The 24,264-nt window shown below is 34.0% G+C and overlaps 1 protein-coding gene across 52 annotated transcripts in view; it reads right to left on the bottom strand.

The window, feature by feature from the left end:
* The window catches only part of SUPT20H (SPT20 homolog, SAGA complex component), a 50,377-nt gene that overhangs the window by 905 nt on the left and 25,208 nt on the right, over positions 1-24,264 (bottom strand). For 8 of the 52 annotated variants that reach the window (XM_005266457.5, XM_005266454.5, XM_005266451.5 and 5 more), the window contains 16 exons: positions 23,233-23,372; positions 21,523-21,679; positions 21,351-21,407; positions 19,549-19,620; positions 17,932-18,089; positions 16,574-16,600; positions 15,988-16,020; positions 15,104-15,221; positions 14,124-14,226; positions 13,819-13,977; positions 11,795-12,101; positions 11,232-11,386; positions 9,126-9,181; positions 7,029-7,148; positions 1,976-2,081; positions 336-439 (listed from right to left, as the gene is read on the bottom strand). In XM_005266457.5, coding sequence (XP_005266514.1) covers positions 336-439; positions 1,976-2,081; positions 7,029-7,148; positions 9,126-9,181; positions 11,232-11,386; positions 11,795-12,101; positions 13,819-13,977; positions 14,124-14,226; positions 15,104-15,221; positions 15,988-16,020; positions 16,574-16,600; positions 17,932-18,089; positions 19,549-19,620; positions 21,351-21,407; positions 21,523-21,679; positions 23,233-23,372 — 1,872 coding nt within the window. Of the gene's footprint in view, positions 1-335; positions 440-1,975; positions 2,082-7,028; positions 7,149-9,125; positions 9,182-11,231; positions 11,387-11,794; positions 12,102-12,506; positions 12,829-13,818; positions 13,978-14,123; positions 14,227-15,103; positions 15,222-15,987; positions 16,021-16,573; positions 16,601-17,931; positions 18,090-19,548; positions 19,621-21,350; positions 21,408-21,522; positions 21,680-23,232; positions 23,373-24,264 lie in introns of those variants that run through there. The other 44 variants (XM_017020655.2, XM_017020654.2, NM_001014286.3 and 41 more) reach the window with 9 other exon arrangements.

Below are 24,264 nucleotides of genomic sequence, written 5' to 3' on the forward strand. Positions count from 1 at the left end.
ACTAATAGGAACACTTTTCTGCAGTAAAATATTAGAAAGTTAACAATTGGCACTTACAACTGTCTTTCAAAATATACTGCATACTAGAAAAATGTATGTTAATGTGCCACCAGCACTTCATGAAAAATTTTATAGAGTATGGCTTAAATATACAAAATATATTCAGTGCTCCAAGTTGACTGGCTAAAATGTCAGACTTTAAAATTTGCTAAATTATTTACCAATTACTGTACAGTCTTAAAAGACAGTAAAATAAAACTAAAGCAAGTTATTTTGAGGTACTTTTGGAGCTGAGTATCTTTAAAAATGTAATCAGAGTGAAGTTGCTGGATTACTTGTATCTGTTGCTGCTGCTGTTGAAAGGCAGAGGAGAGCTGGAATCTCTGCTGAGGAAGGCTTTGCTCAGGTCTGTTCTCGGCAGAGCCAAGCTGAGACAACACTACAGAGAGGAGAAGGGGAAAGCAGGCCAGTCAAAAAGTTTGAAGGCTACCAGGGTTAGAAAAGGACAACATAGAAAATGAAATAATAGAAAAGTTAGCAGTATGATTAATCTTAAGTATCAAATCATAGACATTTCAGAATAAATTTAGTATATGGTCTCCTGTTAGTTGGGGGTACCACTGATAATGGAACTTTCTGGACACAAAAAGAGAAGGGAGTGCATTATGTATCAAAGCACTGAACCTCTCTTCTCTTGCATCTGTATAAAATTTGATATTGATGCTATTTTGTTTAGAAGAGTATATTATTTTTGAAATAAAACCAACAAAGTAGGAGAAGGGAGATGGAAGAAATCCAAACTATTGTAACAACAAAGCTGGTAGACAGACAATTGCTTTAAACAAAAGATGCTGCAATGAATATCAGACTACTCTACTAACAATAAAGGTGGTGAACTGAGACTAAGCATTGTTTGTTATTTTTTTAGCTGAATGGGACCACAGTAATCAGTTCAACACTCATTTTACATATGGGGAAGTTTGAAGGCCAACATGATTTAAGTGACTCAGACTCAAAGTTAAGTATGGCAGTCTGTGGCTAAGAACATTCTCATGATTTTTTTCAGACTAGAGTTGTTTCCACTAAATTATACTACAGCTATTTTCGGAAATTCACAATTGGTCTGATAAAGGTATATGATTATATAAACTTCTATTTGGAAATTCACTACCTCTAAATTGGAACTTTATATGTAAGGATAACTGACTTCCAAAATAAAGATTATCATTCTAAAAGACTTCTAAAGGCATCATAGTAAGCCCACAGTGATAAGATGCTGACAACACAGTCACTCATTCAATCCTCAAACTCCTATCATAGTTTTCTTATACATATGGCTTACTCTTTTAATTAAGTGTGAAGTTAGAATTATCGTCTTCAACTGACAGGAAGTTAGAATTATCGTCTTCAACTGACAGGAAGTTAGAATTATCGTCTTCAACTGACAGGATAATCATTAAGAGTAATCTTTAGTTCACCATTTACTGCTGGAAGTGTTGAGAAGTAATTTAATCTTTTTTTTTAAATGATAAAAGTGACTTACAGAAGTTATGCTATTGACCATTAAGACTTAAGTCATTTATGCAACTACAAGTTACCAGAACGAGACAAAAGATTATGCAATCTAGAAAAATTCAGTCTTAACCCAGGAAAACAAAAAAGTTATTAATTAAGATAACTATTGGCAAACACTGAAAACAGCTCTGGTAACCTAGTAAAGTGGATAATTATTTTGCCAGTAAACTGTAACAAGGAAACACAACTGTGGTAATTATGTTAAGTCAAAGCTCTTAATCCACTATCAATGAAAAAAAATCTCAGCCATCAATCAATTTAATAGTTTACACATTATAGCTTTACTTTTTCCTGTTTACTGGTTGCAAGGGAAGGAAAAGAAAATAATTTAAGCGGTGAGATCCCAAATAGATTAGATATGTTTAGTAAATTCAGCATATAAAGTTATGAAGATACCTACCAGCTGCCTGTGACTGCATAAAACTTCCTACTCCAGTAAGGTTAATAACAGCAGCTTGCTGAGCAGATAAGGCCTGTTCTTGACTGGTTGAACCTTGCTCAGAACCCTGAATAAAAAAATAATAAATGACTTGTACAAGAAAGAAAAACAAATTTGAGCTGGTGAAAAGAAATCAGTATTTTTTCCTATATGAAAGAAAGCAGTATTAGACTAGTCTTGTAAAAAGAATAACAAGGAAAATACTTCAAAGGTATTTAGAATAAGCAAGAATAAATTTATGGTATTTGAACAAAGAAAACTTCATTTTTCAGTGCATCTGTATTTATTGTTTAATGCTACCTAGATAACGCCTAAGGCTTTTATAAAGCTTCACTGAAACAATTTTTTAAAGCTTAAAACACCCTTTGTAACATAAACATAGTGCTGGAACTTTTAGTCAGCAGACTAAGTCAAGAAAAGGAAATAAAAGGTATATAGATTTTATAGGAAAAAATAAAATTGTCCTTATTTTCAAATGGCACAACTGTCTATATGGTAGAAAACCCTAAGCAATCTCCAAAACAGCTCCTAGAAGTAGTAAGTCCAGTAAGAGGGCACAAAACAAGACCAATATACAAAAATCAACACTATATATACTAGTAATGAACATGTGAAAACTGAAATAAAAAAAATACCATTCACAATTACTCAAAAAAAAAGAGAAAAGCTTAGGTATTAATCTTAAGTCTAAGAAAACATATACAGGGCTTGTATACCAAAAACTACAAAACATTGACTTTGGTCTAGATAAGGACATATACTATGTTCATGTACTGGAAGACTCACATCATAAAGATGGCAGTTCTTCCCCCAAACTGATCAACAAGTTTAACTCAATTCTTTTAGAAATGCTGGCAAGGTTTTTGTAGATATAGACAAGATGACTTTAAAATGTATATGGAAAGGTAGAGAACCTACATTAGCTACAACAATTTTGAAAAATGGTATGGGAGAAAACACTGCCCAATTTTAAGACACTACAATGAACAAGACAGTGTGGTATTGGCTGAAGGAGAGACACATAGATTAATGAAACAGAACAGGGAACCTAGAAATAGACCCACTCAAATAGACCCAACTGACTTTTAACAAATGTGCAGAAGTAATTCAATTCAGAAAGAATAGCTGTTTTTTTTCTTTGTTGTTGTTTTCTTTTTTTTCAACAAATGGTATTGAAACAATTGGATACTGATAGGAAAACAAAAACAAACAAAAACAAAACACGGACCTAAGTTGCACATCTTGTACAAAAATTAACTGAAAATGGATCATGGATTCAAAATAAGAAACTATAAAACTGTTAGAAAAAAAACACAGGAGAAAATCTTTGGGACCTAGAGCTAGGTAAAGAGTTCCGAGACATGAAAACTAGAGGATATTCCATAAAGAAAAGATACTGTTAACTTGGACTTCAGCAAAATTAAAAACTTTTGCTCTGCAAAAGACATCCTTTGGTACCACCTAAAATAGTGTCTGAAGTAACATTTCAGTATATAATTGCAAGCCAAACATTTCAAAAGTTACATTTATCTTGAGGGGATCTCCCTGGATATAAAAGATTGGACAAAAGAGCACAGAGCTGAAAGGAGGACACATTATTGAATTTGGAACCCAGTTCATGAAATGAACAACAGAATAAGGCAGACCACATCACCACCATAACGGAGCTATGATAAAACAAACAAAAAAACTCAAAATGCAAAAAAACTACAGGTGATATCAATTTCCCCCCAAAGCACTCCACAAACCTAATGTAGACTATAAGCCACCACCACAAATGGAATATTCAAACAAGGAGGAATAATGATTAAACAAACATCTTGAAGAAGAAAACAAATACTAAGAAATAAAAGGACTCAGGCTAAAACTAAAAGGATGAAAAAAGACGTACTAAGCTAACGTTAATCAAAAGAAAGAAACAAGAAATATTACCAGAGATAAAGAAGGTCATTTATTAATGATAAGGGGTAAATTAATCAAGGAAATAACAATCCTAAATGTATATGCACCTAACAATATGGGCTCAAAAAACAACCTTTAGCAAAAGGAAAAATAGAAATTTTCAGTTTTGGTTGAAGACTTCAACACTTCTCTCAGTAACTGATAAAACATACAGAAAGAAAAGGATATAGAAGACCTGAATGATGCCATCAAATACCTTGATCTAATATGGAACACTCCTAACAGCAGAATATACATTTTTTCAGCCATATATGGAGTATTCATCAAGACAGATCACGTTCTCAAGCATTAAACAAACCTCAACAAACTTAAAAGAACCAAAAATATGTTTTCAGATCACAGTGGATTTAAACTAGAAATCAACTGCAGAAAGATATTTGGAAAATTCCCAAGTATTTGGAAATCAAACATATCTAAATAACTGATTTAAGAGGAATCCATAAGAAAATTCTGTGGAACAAAATGAAGGCACAGCATATCAAAATTTGTGGAAAGTGGCTTAAGCAGTACTGAGAAGGAAATGTGTAACATTAATTGTTTATTTTAGAAAAGAATGACCTCAACACAATAATCTAAGCTTCCACTTACGAAACTACAAACTATCATCCAAGAAAACATTCCAGAAATAAAGAAGTGACTCTACACATTAAAAGGATCCACAGGAAAAACATGGAAAAATCAATTCTGACACACACACCAGTGAAAATATTAGACAAGCATTCAGGGCCTCTAGGCAAACTGCTTAAATAAACTTACAAGAGCAAGATAATTAGACTGGCATCAGATTTCTCAAAAACATATAAAGCAAGTCAACAGTAGGAAGAGTTCTTAATAAATTTAAAGGAGACCTAAAACTAGAGAACATTTATAAGAAAACAAGTGAAAATGCTTCAGGACATTGGATTTGGCAATGATCTTCAATATGATACCAAAAGCACAGGCAAGAAAAGTAAAAAGAGAAAATGAACTACATTAAAATAAAAAAAAAAAAAACTTCTGTGCAATGGATGCAATCAAGAGTGAAAAGACAACAAATGGGAGAAAATATCTGGAAATCAAACATCTGATATATGTGTATATGAAGAATGAAGAACTCCTACAATTCAACAACAAAAATTAATCTGAAAAAAAAAAAATGGGCAAGGGACCCAAACAGACTTTTCTCCAAAGATGGTACACAAATGGCCAACATGCATATGAAAAGATGCTCCACACCACTAGTCATTAAGGAAATGCCAATCAAAACCACAATGGGATTATCACCTCACACCCATTAGGAAGGCTGCTTAAAAAAAAAAAAAAAAAATTCCCTAAAGACCCAACCACCACCAGAAAATAACAAGAGTTGGCGAGGATTTGGACAAATCGAGATCTCTGTATGTTGTTGATGGGAATTAGGTAAAATGGTACAGCCACTATGGAAAACAGTATGATGCTTCTTAAAAAATTAAAAATTACCACATGAACCAGCAATCCAACTTCTGGGTATATATCCAGAAGAGTTGAAGACAGGGTCTCAAAGAGATAATTGTACACTCACACTCACACTAGCATTATTTACAATAGCCGAAAGGTGGAAGATACCCAAGTATCCATCAGTGGATGAATGGATAAACAAAATATGGTATATACAAGTATTATTCACCATGAAAAAGGAAGGTGATTCTGACACATGCTATAAAATGAATGACCCTTGAAGACTTTATGCCAAGTGACATAAGTCAAACACAAAAGGACAAATAACTATATAACTGCACTTATATGAGGTATCTTGAATAGTCAAACTCATACTAACATAAAGTAGAATAGTGGCCGAGGGGAGGAGTTGTTATTTACCAGATATAGTTTCAGTTTTGCAAGATGAAAAAGTTCTATAATAGAAATCTGTTGCATAACAATGTGAATACACTTAACACTGCTGAATTGCACACTTAAGAAGTTAAAATGGTAAGTTTTGGCCAGGCACGGTGGCTCATGCCTGTAATCCCAGCAGTCTGGGAGGCTGAGGTGGGCGGATCACGAGGTCAGGAGATCAAGACTATCCTAACATGGTGAAACTCCGTCTCTACTAAAAATACAAAAAAAAAATTAGTCGGGCGTGGTGGCACATGTCTGTAGCGACAGCTACTCGGGAGGCTGAGGCAGGAGAATCGCTTCAACCCAGGAGGTGGAGGTTGCAGTGAGCCAAGATTGTGCCATTGCACTCCAGCCTGGGCAACAGCGCGAGACTCTGTCTCAAAAAAAAAAAAAAAGTTAAAATGGTAAATTTTATGTGTACCTTAAAATTAATTTTTTTAAAAGAAAATCAAAGATTTTATATCTAGCCAAGCAATCTTTAATGTGTTTAGAATGAAAAAACAGTAAGTTTTTAATGTGCCCTTCCTGAGGACTCTATTAGAGGATGAGCTTTATCCAACCAAGACCTGACTGGGGGAAACTGGGCAAAAGGACTAATGGTGAATATTTCATATAATTTGTGAGATAGAGAAACTCTGGATTTGGGACTCAGGAATCAATATTTTTTTAATTTCCCAGATGACTCCAGTGTACCCAAAGTTTAGAAACACTTGTACTTCCTTCTTCTACTGTCATTTATTGCAATTCTTATTCAATTTCTTTCCCTTTGGCAGTGTACACATTTGTTTTTGTCTGTGTTCCCACTGCCCTACATTTTATGATAATAGGGATATCTTTATTCCAATAGCAACAAAATCCTAAAAACAGAAAGATAATGATGGGGTAGAAAATACATGAGTGATAGGGGCACAAAGACCTAGGTTTGAATCTCTGGCTCTGCCACTCACTGTATGGCTAAGAGCAAGCCATTTATCTGGATCTCAATCATCTATGCAAGATGCAGGTGATACCATCTATTCAGTATGGTATGACTGTTTTATTAGGAATACACACCCAATAGCTGATTGCTACTATTGTTAATAAAAACAGTACAGGAAATGTTTACACTAACAAAGCAAATGAAGTATGCTTGGAATATACCAAAAAATGTTATAAATTCGATGTAAAAGCATATGGAAGGCTAGAAAATCCATACCTGCTCCCCTGGCTGTTGAGGACTACAAGTTGTGGGCTGCTGAGGTTGTTGTGGTGTAAACTGGGAGAGCTGCTGTTGCTGCTGCTGCAGAGTGTTAAAAATAAGTGAACCACCTGGAAGCTATTAAGAATTTAAACAAAAATTAACCAATTTCACATGATTTTATATCAAATATTTAAATTTATTCTACAAATATTTTTGGATCATTTGCTATGTGTCACTCTTCTAGTTATTGAAGAAACAGGTAAAGAAAAAACAAGTTGGCTGCCCTTAAAAAAAAGACCTATTTAGAAACTGTTTTTAAGTCCTATTACTTTGGGCTCCCAAGTATGCTAATACTCTTAAACATAAATTTTTCTGCTTCAAGCTAGTAGTTAGCTATTCCAATTCACATGCTATTTTTCATTTCACTCTTTTTATACATCAATACAAAAGAGCACTAAATACATTAGAAAGTACAAACAAGCAGCTTATGAATCAGAAATGTATACTACGAAAAGCCACCCCTCATAAATTTGTTCTAGTTTTGCCAAAAACACAAATATTATACAAGATCTTTTGTATAACACAGTGAGGAATTTCAAAGCTGAAAAGAAAGTGCATTTAGATGTCCATATTTATTCTGTAGACCACTACTTTCTCTTTCATTCAAATCTAATTTGAATTTAATCCAAATTAAAAAACAATTTTTAAAGAAGCACTCAGAAAACTCCAGGTTAAAAGGGAAAACAATGCTTTTCAAATGCACCAAAAAACAAACAGTTTTTCCATTTTAAGCTATAGGGGTTTATATACGGACCACTTTGAGGTCCTTAGGAGAATGTCCAAGACAATACCAAATACAGAACTCTTAGGTCTGTATAGTCAAAAAAATAATAATAAAAAAAAAATAAAAAATCCTTGGGTCAAAGTATCTATCTATATCCATCACAGCTCATCATTAGGTAAATCTAGACACAGCACAGATCAAATGTTCCTTCCTCAATCAGTATACAGTAAATGTAGAAAAATATAACAAACTAAAGGATTTCCATTCCTGTTAACACTGAGACTGATCCCTAAGAAAATTTCAAAAGCAATATGCCGGAAGGTAGGCTAAATAAACAAATGCAATTTGTGGGCTTGCCCATATTATAAGTATATTGTTCTGCAATTAGTCTGTAAACATACTGCATCGTATATAGGAAACAAGTTTTAAATTTTAGCTCTAATGAGAATTTCCCGATTTGTTAATCCTGAATACCAGGGTGGCTGATCTGTTATTGTTATTTCCCATCAATCCATAGCTCTACTATGTTACATATCCAGATCTTTATAGTCACGTCTATCCATTTTCCAAACTACTAGCTTAAAGCTTACTCCTTCTTTAAATTAGAGGACCTAGCATAACACGAGGAATGTTGTAAATTCACCCCCCTTGTTTTTCTTTTGAGGCAGGATCTTACTCTGTTGCCTAGGCTGGAATGCAGTGGCACAATGTCAGCTCACTGCAGCCTCGACTTCCTGGGCTCAAGTGATCCTCCGACCTCAGCCTCTTGAGTAGCAGGGATTACAGGTGCATGCTACCACGCTTGGCTAACTTTTTGTAGTGATGGGGTTTTACCATATTGCTCAGGCTGGTCTCGAACTCCTGAGCTCAAGCAATCCACCCACCTGGGTCTCCCAAAGTGGTGGGATTCTAGGTGTGAGCAACCATGTACGGCCCACATACCTATTTTTTAAATCTCCTTCAAGCACAAAAAAAAACCAGTATTACATATATGTATACATAAAACATCTGTTGGGAAAGCAATTATTTTCTAAATACATCCACTATTATTATTGTAGGGAAGTATCCTCCTTGGTAGGTGCAAATTCTCCCCACTAGCACAGCTAGTTCTTAATTAGGCAGGGCTACTGGAGCCAAAGTGTGGTATATAGGATACTGATTCTTTCTCTTTATCCGCTTGATCATACAAAGGTAGCAATAATAACCACACCCTTAGAAGAATCTAAACAGACCTCAGAATTTCAAGTGCTGATACATATAGATATACATTGTTTAGAAAAAAAGTCAATGTACAAAAAATTTAATCAAAAGCAGTATTTCAGGTTTACCTGGAGTAGATTTAAGGGCCTGAGACTTGAAGTATTTTTTAAACCAAATGGAACACCTGTTAAATAAAACTCATGGTTATAACAGAATTGAAAGTTTATTACACATGAAAATAATTTATACTTTAGTATATATAAGTACAATAATTTTATGTATTCTCTGCATAGATGTGCTTATTTTCCATACTTCAAAAATATCTTAAAAACAAAAGATTGTCTTCAATATTTATCAATACTGAGATTTTATTCAAAGTTGTGAAGCACCAGATGCACATTATATTCTATATTTCAGAAACTGGGACTTCTTTTTCATTCTTCTGACTGTTGGCTGAACAAAGAGTAATCAAGAATTATGTGAACACCATGAATATAACAAAACTATCACTGCTGTGCAAATACATTCCAGGTATTGGCATCTATTTACATTTCTCAATGCTACATAGTATACTATAATAATCATATCTCTAAGAACCGGTGTGCTTTATGCTATTTTTTTTTAACTAAAAATGTTAATCAGAATGCTAAAGAATGTTGCAATTTGTGTATAAAGATCAAAACAGAGTCAGGAAACAGTGCTCTGTTAATTTAAACTTATTCCTAAAAAATCTGTTACATTAACACAGAGCATATCTTAAAGCTGGGGGTGACAAACGTTTTCAATAAAGGGCCATCATGTGGGCTTTGTGAGCACAAATGGCCTCTGCTGCATTTTCTTTTCATAATCCTATAAAAATGTAGTAACCATTTCTAGCTTAGGCTGTGTGCTGTAGTTTGTTGATCCTGGTCTCAAGGTATGTATATATTTTGCTAACAAAATATACTAATTTGAACACTATTTAAAAATGTATCTAGTTCTCTATCATATCATTTTTTTTTTTTAAAGATTTAAGGGAAGAAATGCACATGTAACACTAGCGAAGCCTTGTATAAGAAACTGAAATTTGGCAAAAATATCCCTTTCTGGAAAAATTCTCATTTAAGAAAATGGCTTAACCCCCTTTTAAAAGTGGATGACATCTGTATAATGCTTTCTAGCTTACCAAAGGCACTTTCATACTTCATTTAGTTCTCTTAAGTACCAACTGGAGATATTTTTATTCCCACTTTAGAGCAAACTGAACTGAGGATAAGGGGGAAAAATTTAGTGACTTCTGTAGAACCCCAGTTTAGCAACTGAAGCCACATGTAACTGGTACAACTAGTAGTTACATGTAAATATCCTAAGTTCAAGATGTGAAGTCCATTTCCAGGACTTCTCGCACTAAGGCACACTTATGCTTATTAAAATAAGAACACTAGCTAGAATTAGGAAATTACAGCAACATGTTAGCATGTTTAATTATATTCTCTAGGTTCTCTTTCTCATAACTAAGAAAGTTTTTAATAAATTTTTCTAGATTGTTTTTCCTATTACATTTTTCTTCAAGTGAAACTGAATCGTTTCAAGATATTATAATACATTATTTTAAAGAGCATCAAAAAAATAAGCACAAGTTATTATAACTGTTTTCCTGTATAGGTAATAACTACTCCTAAATAAAAGAATGCTTATCATGTCTCAGGCACAGTTTAAACACATAATTTGTATTATATTTCATTTAATCCTCACGACTATGAGGTAAGTTTTTATTGCTATTCCCATTTTATTTATGAGGAAAATTAAACACAAAGGTAACTTTCTCAAGATGACACAAATGGTAAGCTGTACAACTGGGATTCAAGCTGAGGTAGTCTGGCTCCAGAATCCAGGCTCTTAACTGCGATGCAGTTGCCTCTTGTACACAATGTATATTTTCAAAATACACTTATTTTCCCTGGAATATAACTACAATGACAATAAGGCTACCAAAATTAATTTTGTTATTTGGAAAGCAGAAGAAAGATTTGCACAGACTCACAGGCTTACCAAGTTTTCCACAGAAGTTGACTGCTAGAAGACTTTTAATTCAAATGCCAGAACTTTTAAAGGCTTTTTAAGTGAAATATATGTGATACAACACTTCATGAAATAATGACATTAAATGCCTTTAGCATTACTCTTAAAATTACATTTTTACTTTAGCATATACTTTAATTTTTTTTAGAGGTTATTATTTCCAACATTCTGACCTGCTTGAGAAGCTGCCTGCATTGCACTGGGCAGTGCATTTGGTAGCAGACCTCCTGAGGGTAGAAGGCCGCTCAGGTTTATTCCTGCAGGAGTTATGGCACCAGTGTTACAGCCCAGCATGGGGTTTGAACCACTCATCAAAGCCTGGGCCCCACTGCAGGAGAATAAGACAAAGCATTAAACTTCACTGTAAAAGGAAAAAATCAGCCACACAATTCCTCAGATTAAAAAACAAAACTACTAAGCAAACACAACTAGTTATTTATCTGTCTTAAATATCAAAGAAAGTAATGCAGAAGATAAATAGGAAATTCTAAGCTGCTGTCAAGATGAAGTATCAAAAAACAAAAACGATAAGATGAGATATCATCTTAGTGCAGTTAACAGATGTATTATTTAAAATTAAAACATACATGGTCAGGCAGCTTCTGTCCATATCTAAACTATTCCTTTTCAGTCTGAGTAATATGCGGTTTGTTCTTAATTTCACACATTAAGAATTTATTTAGATTGGTGAAACTATCTTTATAAAAAAAAAATCCGAACATCAATGCAAACTTACCAAACAGAGCCCACTACATTGATGAAGTTAAGTCCAGCAGAGTTTGCCATGACCTGGGTGGCCGTGGTTCCTGGAGTTATAGATGTTACCATGGTGGAAAGAGGAATGGTTGTTACAGGCATTGCCTGGCTCAGAGACCTTTGCTGCTGAGCAAACTGAGTTAACAAAGTGGGCTGAGGGGTGAAGCCTGAATCTTGGGGAGTAGGGGTGGCTGAAGGGGTACTAGGAGTTGAGCTCTGAGCATCAGGAGGGTGTGGGGTCGATGAAGGGGTTGGTGTAGGAGTAGATGGCTTAGGAGTTCCAGATCCTGCTCATTGAGAAAAATAAAAATTGCTAGTTTGTTATAAATGGCCAGTCCTTTTAAAATAAGGTTAATGGAATCTTACTTAGCACTGACAATTTGTTCTAGTTTTTTTTTTTTTAGCAGTTAACTGCAAGTGTTAATTTCTACACATGATACATGAGTGTTGCTACACTCAATTACAATTAAGGATGCAGTATATCACCTAAAAATCCCATTAAAGATGCTATTGCAGTAACAGTAAAAATATACAGTTATATTCTACCACAATACCCATTTAAAAGTTAGTTTCCTACATGCTGCCTTTGGCCTAAAAAGTTCAAAACGAATTCAAATTAATTTGTTATTTACGATTTCACTAATTCAAGACTTCATTTAAAAATATTGCTTATTTAGTGTAAAAGTCTGAGATAAACTGTAAACATATTTAATAAGTTACATATGGTTAACAATCATATTTGGCACCTAAATATACATGTTTAATTCCTAACACATCAAGTTTATCCTGACAAACAAATTTACAAAAAACAGTAATAAAGCAAATATCTGAGAGATAATACTGCATCTTTAACAGTAACTGTGTACTTCTGTTTAAATGTAGAATGTATAGAAAATCTGTTGTGAATGAAGTATGCACAGTTTATCAATTTTTTAAAAAACAAAAACAAAAAACAAAAACCAAAAAAGTAAAACCAAAAGCTCTTGAGGTGTTTTCTTTTTTAGCTTTCATGTCCTGCAGAAAGAAAGGAAAGAAATGTGAATGTCCAGAAGCTGTCACTCAACCCTTACTTAAAGTAACAACTGTGTGCAGTAGATTACCATAATCCATACCCACAACATAAGAAGTGTGAATAAGACTTTCAGAAAATTTATATATTTTTCTTTGTGCAAAACAAGAAGGCAGAAAAATTACACCTTTTGAGCTATCGAGATGAAGATGTTTATATCTAATGCGAAGACCACCCTATCACTGTGCAGTGTACTAAAACTTTCAGCATATATTAGCTATCTATAAAAAATCTAAAAAACTGGAATGACTTTTTTCCCCAAATTGGTACTTTCAGATATTTACTAATTTGAAGAAATTCTCCCAAACTAATGCTAGCATTCTTGTATAACTCTTCTTGATGTTAAAAAAAAGTATTCAGTAGTAAAAATTACATTTCAGTATCTTCAGAATAATGCTTTATGATTATCATCACATTTTAGTAACTGACAACAATTTATAAAAGAGTGTAGGAGTGTTTTTGAAATATTGTTTTTCAGTTTATTGTATCACCACCTTGGAACTAGTTGACTTCTTACATATACACAAAGATAGGACCTGCAGCAACAACTCTTATGACATTTTTTTCATATCAGCCACACAATTTACATAAATATGCAAAATGATCCTAGGGTACACTGGAATAAAAAATATTTTGAAATCTTATTGCCACATGTAACTACCAGGTTATTTTTTTAAGGAGATGTGTAGGTTGTAAGCCTATAAGAAAGGTACACGCAGAATGTATACACAGATACAGAAAAACAAGTACAATTACAATAGAGACATAATACATACAATCAACAAGAGCTCTGCCTGAAGCTTCTAGCAACTTATACATTTTGGGTACACAGTACATTCAGATATCACTACTTCACAGGTTGAAAAAAGCTGTCTTAAGAAACACTAATGCAAAAGCTTATGAAGATTTAATGAAGAATTTAAGTTATGACTCACTTTGTGATGAGCTGGCAGGTGATAGGGCAGCTGGAGAAAGCATGCTAACTTGATTGAGATCCACAGATGATTTCCGAGGAATACTTGATGGCTTAGAAGAAGGAGGAGGAGTTGGAGATTTGAGAAAGCTGCTTGTCTGTTGTGGTGTAAAATAGTTACCTAGAAGAACATAAAAGTTATTTCCTAAATTTATAATTCAAACTTCTGTGAACTGTAGAAATCAAAATGGGGCAAAGTTTTAAAAAGAGATTATGATTATATAATATTTGTTATTCTAGACTGCAAAAAACTAAGAAATGTAATACCTGAGGAACTATTTCCTGAGCTTGAGGGAAGTTTGATTGGTGGGGGTCGATGTTTTACACCCTTCCCCAATACCGAAGACTGAACTGACACGGTTTCAGTTTGCTAAAAGACAATGACATTAAGCTTACTTGTTAAAATTAATACTGCTATAAACCCCAGATGATATTTATATTTAACTTCATAGTTTATTAAATAAAATTAATACTGCTATAAATCCCAGATTTTTAACTCTGCAAAGTGCTCTTAGTGGTTACAGATTGAATACTATATGTATTACAGAGAAAATTTCACATGAGATTCATGAAATATATTACAGTACACATAAAGAATGAGGAAAAGATTTCTGAGTAATAGGGTGGGAAGAGAGAGTTTTAGGGAGAAAGGCAGAGGAGTAAGATGAAAGCAAGCTTCCACTCTTCCATACTTATCTATTAAAGGAAAATAACAGCTGTTGAAGCCAAATGACTAGAACACAGGTGTTCACTGTAATTTTCCTTTTATCTTTGTGTACATTTAAAAATCATGTTATAAAGAGTTAAATAATTTTAAAAAAAGGTAAAAGTAGAAACAAAACTAAACTGTACCCCCGCTCCTCAAAAAATGATTCTTTTTTTTTTTTGAGATGGAGTCTTGCTCTGTTGCCCAGGCTGGAGTGCAGTGGCGCTATCTCGGCTCACTGAAACCTCCACCTCCGGGGTTCAAGAGATTCTCCTGTCTCAGCCTCCCGAGTGGCTGGGATTACAGGTGTGTGCCACCATGCCCAGCTAATTTTTGTGTTTTTAGTAGAGATGGGGTTTCACACTATTGGTCAGGCTGGTCTCGAACTCCCGACCTCAGGTGATCCACCCACCTTGGCCTCCCAAAGTGTTGGGATTACAGGCATGAGCCACTGTGCCTAGCCTCCAAAAATGATTCTTAACATTTCTCAGATTACTTGTGAAACAACTGGGCACAAAGAAGTAACATTAATGAAACACACATCTGTTTCTTTCCCTGGAGAAACCTGACTCAGACTGGCTGAGCCACTGGAGCTGTGTGACATCTTGACCGGACATTTGGCTTCATTCTGGACTAATTCTTGGTACTGATTGACTACCCTAAAATATCAGGAGAAAACAGGTAAAGATTAGAAAACCTGTTTTAAACACAAATTTATTTTATAGGAAAGAATAATGACTATTAATGGCAAAAAGAAAGTTCTATCAAAATTAACATAAATATTAAAAATTAGGCAATTTATCTTTGTATTAAAAGTACATATTTTTAAACTGTTCAATGACAAATTGTCCAAAACATTGTGCTAAATAACAATCTAAAGATATACTTTCAATATCTTATTTCTAATACAGAAATTACAGGGATTACTTAAGTAATAAGCAGCCAAAGAAAATACTCAATTCCTTTCTTAGATTCTGATTAAAGTACTATCTAGAAATCATCTTCCTTAGCTACAGTAGATATGTCTAAGTTTTCTTATTTAAAACAAAACTATATTTTAAACATTTCTTTTGTTTTCTTAATTCTATGAAAAAAAACCTAGGTATTATAAACTTTGGAAAAATGCATTTAAGTCCCCCAAAAATCTCATCCCATGAAAAGAACCATTCTTAGTAGTTTGGTGTATCACAAGCTTACAGATATTTTTCTAGAATCAGTAAGATTTTAAAGTTGGAAAGGACCTTAGAGGTTTTATTGTCCAATGCCCTAATTTTACAACAGAGACCCATAAATATTAAACAGTGTAAATATGGTTAACAGCATAACCAAAATCAAAGTTTTTAACTCCTAGTATTCTCTATCCTATAAGGGTGAAAAATTTTTCATATCCATCCTGACCAAAATAAGAGATGCAAATATTTTTACCTCTCAGCATCGGTCTTTGATCCAATAATGAACCTAAAATGTTTAAGGAAAAAAAAGGAGAGAAAAGTATTAGGTAAGAGTTGTCTTAAGAAGGCTTGGGATTACTTTTGAATCTTCCATGTTTTAGTCACAGTAATATAAACTGGTATTAAATCTACCAAGATATGAAAAAAATTTTTTTAATGCATTTAAACATATGAAACAATGACTAAGTTTTGCATGCATTATGAAACAATGTGAATAATTTGGTTGATTTAATTAAGTGATATTTCTTTTGGCACAAAATTTATTTATTAAAACATAATCTGGGCTGAAAGTTACCAAGTGCTATATACCCTTACAACTATTGATCCTAAAGCAAAATCACTGAACTAACATGTGCAAAGGTCTTTGGCCTTCCTCTCACTTTAACCTGCAATTTTAGAAGTTACTATTAATGTCTACATAACAGATCCTTAGAATATATTTCAAACAAAGTATACATATTTATCACTGATTCAAATAAAGTATATTTAGCAAGTCTTTTTAAAGAGTTTGATATTTATGTAATTTCTTAACAGATTAAAATAGTTTATTTTTTAATTACCAATTTGAATGATCATCTGTGGACGAGCTGAAATATAAAATGTAAAAAAAAGCTTAGTTAATGCAGCTCAAACTTTAACTTCATAGTTTATTAAATAAAGTATTTTATGAATATGGAAGAATGACTGGAAGATAATAAATCATGCAGCTACTCTGATGCAAAGGTAAAAAATTCAATTCTCTTCCTGTCAAACAAATTAGTCATTTGGCTCTATAGACCAATTTTTTCACAAAAGAACATGTATCACCCTTGTGTTCTACAAAAATAAGTTAATAAATTAAAAATGGCCAATGTATGTTGTCTTTAAGTGAAAAGATTTTTTTAAATATAAGTAATCAATATTGGGTACTATATTCACTACCTGGGTGATGGGATCAGCAGACACCCACACCTTAGCATCATAAATATACCCCTGTAACAAACCTGCACACATACCCCTATATCTAAAATAAAAATAAAGAAAAAAAATGGCTTCCTTAGAAATGCATGCTGAGGATTCAGAAATAAACTGTTGTGATGTCTATAACTTAAAAAAAAAAGAAGAAAATGTATGTTATCAAAATATCTGATCCTTTTACAATAATAAAAACTGGTCATGTGAAAAAACAAGCTGAGGATTCCCTGTTATTTCCTTTCATTGACTTTTACCTAAATATTGGTGGGGTTGCTCTTTAAAATCCACCTTTCTACTGTAGTTTCAATTAGTATTTTGTGTAAGTAAAGGCTTTACAATTAACATAGACCTCGCCCCCATCCTTTTCTGCTGAGCTTCTTTTTTGTTTTCAAAACAGAAAACTTATTTTTCAAATCAATTTGATTAAAAAAACCAAATAAATAGTAAAACAAAATAAAACTAAATACTGACAGTACCAAATATATGTAGTTCATACATTTTGGAAGATCATCTATATTTTTATGTATTAATATGTAGGGCCAATAACTACAATAAGCATTGAGTCTGTGTCCTTACATGCAGTGCCAAAATACCAAGCATCTTTTCACATTTATAGTAAACTTGCTTCCTATTTAAACACACTATTGCCCAAACACTTCATGTTCAAAGGTTAAAGTCCTAAGTGCCATAAACATATAAAGAAGGATATCACAGGAATAGCCTTCAAAACAAGCATAAAAATAATTATACCATAGGTTTTTTTATTTTTAATAACTCTTGAGCAACATGGTAACTACGACTTAAGTTTACTTAGGTCTACCGCCAAATCTAATTGTTATATTTAACTAATAAGTGAGTTCCCAAAGAGAAATTTTTATTCATTAATGGTTCATCAGTAGTTACTAGATAAATTCTTGGTGCCTTATTTTTTTTTTTCCAGTTACTTGTATTTAACAGAACTCACTGTGATGGAGACATCTGGCTGTCACTTTCTTCATCTGCTTTACATGGCTGTATTTTACCATAGTAAAGTGGATCTCCAAGCGACTGCAAGATGGTCAGCTTTGTTTTCTGATACTGAGTACCAGCTTCACATTCAAATACATAATCATCTTTTACATCCTGAAAAATGCATAGCACCTCAAATAAATACCTTCACAAGTAGGCAGGCAATAAGAATTAGTAAAAATCAGGAATAAATGATACAGTAACATGTATCTGACGATAGGAAGACACACAGCACTTAGGCTACAAAGATATTTAAGTCTGCCTATGAGAATAAAGCACAGCACGGTTCTTTTCCTAAAAACTATATGGGCACTCAGCATGCATTTAGTAAAGCATTAACATATACTATGAAGTATGAACACATATGTAACAATATTAATACATCATTAAATACATTATTAGACATATTGATATACATATAATAACAATGAACATTAATCAAACACTGTTCTCAGCACTCTACAGGGACTGAAAGCTCCACCATATTTTCATGGTTGGCACTGTTATTACCTCCGTATTAGAAGTCAGGGAATTAAGCAAAGAGAGGTTAAATGAATTGCCTAGGGTCACACAGGGAGTTAGCAGTCTGTCCCTAAGCTTGCACCCCTGATCCTCATGCTGCCGTGCCTGTTTATGCTCAGGAGGGCAGTACAGGATTCTTTTTTACATGGTACTCTGGGAATGAGAGTTTAAATGGCATGTTTAATCAAGCTTAATATGGCAGAATTTCATACTAGATATATGAATTGCAAATATTAAATAATATTAAAAGGATAAAACTTTCAAAAGCAGATCTATTTATCATTTGTCTGCTTTTGCTATCACACACAAAAAACATCTGTCATCATTTCACTCCCAGAGTTCACCTAATTTAAATATTACACCTATTCCTCTCTTTTTAAGACGTTATTATTGCAATTAGGAAAACTTATAAAGAACACTTCTGTTAAAAGCCAGCCTTAGAAGAATTTATTAATTAGAAACAAAACAAATCAGAACTACCAATACGCAAACCAAAAGTAAAAATGAAGTTCTTCATTAAAATTGCTCTTTAAGGCTGGGCGCAGTGGCTCATGCCTGTAATCCCAGTACTTTGGGAGGCCAAGGTGGGCGGATCACCTGAGATCGGGAGTTCGAGACCAGCCTGGCCAACATGGCGAAACCCTGTCTCTACTAAAAATACAAAAATTAGCCAGGTGTGGTGGCAGGTGCCTGTAATCCTAGCTACTCAGGAGGCTGAGGCAGGAGAATTGCTTGGACCTGGGAAGTGGAAGAGGTTGCAGTGAGCCAAGATCCCACCTCCAGCCTGGGCGATAAGAGCCAAACTCCATCTCAAAAAATTAAAATAAAATAAAAATAAAAAATAAAAATAAAAAATTGCTGTTTAAAATGCAAAGCATACTCTGATAAACAAAATAGTTGTTTCTTCTTGTAATAAACTGAACTCGCAGAAACTAATTTAAAAAAGAAAAAAGGTCCCAAACTAATGGCAATTGCACTTTATGTTTAATAAATTCAGAGGCCAGATTAGAAATGGCATAATTAGAAACAGAGACAGGCAATGATTTCTTACATGGGCTGGCCAGACTGTTGGCTGTGAGTCATCAGATTTGATAGACTTTTCCACTTTAGCATATTTCTCCACCTAAACAATCAAATCAAGAAATACCACATAAAATAGAATCCATATCAGATAAAATGGAATCAGTATTCTGATCAAAGAGAAGAAACTAAGTAACTCGACAATACAATATACTTGTTAGCGCAAGAATTCTTAAATTACCGGTATCAACTACTTATGCTTAAGCAGTTTAAAAGTCTTCTGATGTGTATAAAACAACTTTAATAAAACCAAACCAAATAAATAAGTGTTAATAAACACAGCTGCTTTTCTAGACAGTGCCTCTTCATTTTTTTGTCCATAAGCTGATATGTTTTTCCTTTAGAGCTTTTCCTTCAGGAAAATTGGAATGTCAGAGAGATAAGGATAAAGATCTTTTCCTTTTGGCAGGCTTTTCTTGAAATAAAAGCGGTCATGTAACAGTGGGGACAAAACTGAGGGAGACTAGGGAAGGTAAAATATTAAAGCTGATCAAATTTTTTGAACGTTTTCCACTTTCTAGTCAGACTTGACCATATATTCTGTACATGTCCTAGGCATCTGTGTGAGTCAAATGTTATTATCTTACAGGCAACCACGATCTTAAGAGTAATTTAGACTTACCTGGAGCACCTATTAAAAATACAGATTTTCATGTCTGTCCCTTAGAAATCCTAAGTAAGTAGATTTTGAGTAGGGCTTGAAATCTCTATGTTTAACTGATATCCTAGGTGATTCTTCTGATTGAGCTAGACTGAGAAGCTTTGAGGGCAACTGCTACTCAATGTGTGGTCCATGGACCCCAGCATCACATAACCTAGGAGCTTGTGAGAAATGCATCTTAGCACCTCAGACTTGCTGAGTAGCAACCTACAATTTAACAAGCTCTCCAGCTGATTCGTAAGGACATTAAAGTTTGGGAAGTACTCCAGCTTGTCCTCCAAAGCTAAATTCCACCCTTCAGTATTTACACTGAAATTCTATTATCAGGCCATGTTCCTTGAAGAACTGCACATAAGCTACCAAAAGATAATATGGCTTACTTCCTTGAGCTGTATATACAGTCTACTGCTGCTTCTGGCTTTGTGCTTTGCGTAATTTCTTTTTTTTAAATCAGAAATAGTAAGAATAATGCATGTGCTAGCATGGAAAGGGTGCAACAGAAGAACAAATCTGAAAATAAAGAGTTGAGTGAATATAAAAAACAACAGAGGAGAAAGAAAAACATAGGATCACTCATCAAAATATCCCTTTTTTGTCTTCAACCATTTATAGTTCATGTATATTATGGATCAATAAAGAATACAACCCAATGTTCCTAATCTTGGTTACTTCTCTAGTATTATTAATCTTTATTTTATTTTATGTCAAATAATATTATTAATCTTCAAATTTAACCAGTTTGAGTAAACAAGCACTATTAGGAAATTTTGATGAAATATTATCAAAAAAAGAGAGATTTCACGTGATTATGTAATATACACTGTATTTTTCCAATTTTAAAATTGTTTTACTATTCCTGCTCCAAAAAACTATATTAAGGGGTTATGTTCTTTCAACTTAATGTGAAAAAAGAACAATACACAGCTTCTAAAAATCATTTTTCGATGTTTTTTGAAATAAATCATATTGTTTTTAAAAAACTTGTTTAGAGTATGATCTAAATCACTTTGTTTTTAAAGTAAGTTTTTTTTTTGTTTTCTCAAGGTATAAGCAACCGAATAGTAAAACTGAGAAACTTTATATGAAAAAAAGTAATTCATGAACTGACTTACATCTACTTCAGAAGGTATGGCCAAATTACAGGGACTCCGTTTCCACATATCTACACACTGAAAAATTAAAAACAATATACTGAAAAATTAAAAACAATATAAATATACTGAAAATGCTAAATAAGACAGGCTTTTGGGCATAATAAGCTTCATTTAAAATATATATACTTACATTTCCTGCCTTAGAAATTTTGAGGTCATAATGCTGACCTGCTTTTCTTTCCTTTCTTTTTTGTAAGAAATCAAGTAACCTCAGCTGAGGAGGAGGTGGACAATGAGATAGATCTTGCTGCCGATTCAGAGAGGATCTGGAATACCTCTTGAAACACCTGAAATATTAAGAAATTTGAACTAAACGGCACTAATAAAAGAAACTCATAATATATGTGAGTTGAAACTAGTCAGTGCTGAATATGTACAAATCGTGTTTATAGAACACTGCCACATGCCAAGCACAGTCCTAGGAACTAGGACTAGGTGAAATAAAAATGAATAGGACAAACAAAATTCCCATCACCACAGAGCTATCAAGTCCAGAGGGGGAGGAGACATTCACAAGTAAACAGATAAAATAATTTCAGATTTCAGACACCAAGAAGCAGTAAGAGAAGCAAAAGAGTACTGTGGAGAGTATGGGATAAGGAGGGCAACATTAGGGAAGGAATGGGGAGAGGGAGGGGAGGAAAAGAGTCTGAAAAAATGACATGTGAGCTGAGATAGGAATGATGAGAAGGAATTAGCTATGGAAAGATGGGAGTGAAGGGGATAACTTCCAGTTTTGGGTACAGGCATGTAAGACTCCGGAAGTTGCCACCTCATCCTAACAGGTAAAAAGCTGAATAAACAGAAAAATCAACGATTCTTCTTAGATCCATCAAAGAGATGTGGTCACAAGACAAACCACTGCCCCAAACTTGGAGAAACCAATAGGCAAATGCAGACCATCATGCCTTGCTGAAGCAGAAACCCATTAGCAGAAACCTCCTCAGGAACCAGTGCCAGGGTAGGGAACCTCAAGTATAACTGATGAATTGCTGGAGGCCTACTGTGGACATGTCTGAGAGATTCAAAACTCCAAGGGGACCTAGTCACTGGGAGCCCCCAGACTTTTGGGGGTTTTATCTCCAGGAGCTCAAAGAGGTTCTCACAGTGACTACCGGGGAAAAATCCCCTCATGTTTCCCATGGAGGGTGGGGAAAAGAAAATATTCTGAAAGATCAGGGAATGACTATTTGAAGGGACATTTTTAAAAGATGCCGAGGGAGGAATAAGCTTGGTTTGTTTCAAAAACAAAAGGTAGGTGTGCCTGGATTCAGTTTATAACTGACTTCTAAAAACTATGATCATATTTTCTCAAATCTCAAAATTACAAATTCTTTCCTTAAAGTAGGATTAACAACAATTAAATCAGTCATTCATTAGTAGGAAAATAATGAAAAAATTATTCTTTCTGTTCATATTTGATCTCAGCCTCTTTACCTTTTTGGCAAACAGACTATAAACTTAGAAAAAGTTTATTCTTTAAAAGACTGCAGAAAATGCAACAGTTCAATCTAAAGCATAGAGCATTTAAAAAAATAATAATACTATATAAAAATATATAATATGAGACCATTAAGAATCCTATTTTCAAAAAGAAAAAAAAAAATCAGAGGCTGGTGCAGTTGGTCATGCTTATATTCCCAGCTGTTTGGGAAGCCAAAGTGGGAGGATCACTTGAGGCCAAGAGTTTGAGACTAGCCTGGGCAACAAAGAGAGACCTCATCTCTACCCTTCCCCACCAAAATCGGAGCAACCATACCCTGGAGGGAAAAGATACTATAAATAGCAAAATTTATAGCTACTTGTGTCTTTTGGTTCACCCTTCCACAAAGGCAATTACCGTTTCATTGGGCGAGTGTTCATCTTTTGCTTGTTATAGAGCAGTCTGTTTGCAGTGCAGGTGACTGCTATAGAAGGATCAAGACAGAGTGGTTCAGCTGTAGCTAGGATGAGCTGGCTCTCAAGCAAAAGTTTGTCTTCCTGAAATGTGTAAGAGCATATGTCAATACCAGATTTAAGATTTTCAAATATGTAATCATATATTGCACTTAATCTAGAAATATTCCCTGGAATTCTGCTAAGGACTACAGTAAAATATGGTATTTCAAGTTCCAATGTTAGTGTGCATGTAAACTTTTAGAAACCAGACAGCATAAAGAAACTTCTAATGGAAATTCAATGCAGGTATACCTCATTTTATTGTGGTTCGCAAATATTGCACTTTTTACATATTGAAGATCTGTGGCAATTTTGCACTAAGCAAGGCTATCAGCATCATTTTCCCAACAGCACACACTTATTTTGTGTCTGTGTCACATTTTGGTAATTTTTTTTGTATCTCAAACTTTTTCATTATTATTAAATCTATTATGGTGATCTGTGATATTCAATGTGTACTAAATCAAGAAATGATGTATGTTCTCTGACAGCTTCACCGATCCACCACTCCCCAGTGTGGGATCTCCCCTATCTTTCTCCTTCTTCTCAGGACTTCTTACTTCTAGAAACATTATAATATTTAAATTAGGCAAAAAATGGCCTCTTAGTGTTCAACTGAAAGGAAGAGTCACACATCTCTCATTTTAAATCCAAAGCTAGAAATGATTAAGCTTAGTGAGAAAGGCCTATAAACAGCTACAACAGGCCAAAAGCTAGGCCTATGGTACCAGACAGTTAGCTAAGTGGTGAATGTAAAGGAAAAGTTCATAAAGGAAATTAAAAGTGCTACTCCAGTGAATATCCATAACAGATAAAAATGCAAAACAGCCTTATTGCTGATACAGAGGAAGTTTTAATGGTCTGGATAGAAGATCAAACTAGTTGCAACATTTCCTTAAGCCAAAGCCTAATCCAGAGCAAATTCCAACTCTTT

This window comes from Homo sapiens, chromosome 13 (genome assembly GCF_000001405.40).
Source record: "Homo sapiens chromosome 13, GRCh38.p14 Primary Assembly".
Lineage (NCBI taxonomy): Eukaryota > Metazoa > Chordata > Mammalia > Primates > Hominidae > Homo > Homo sapiens.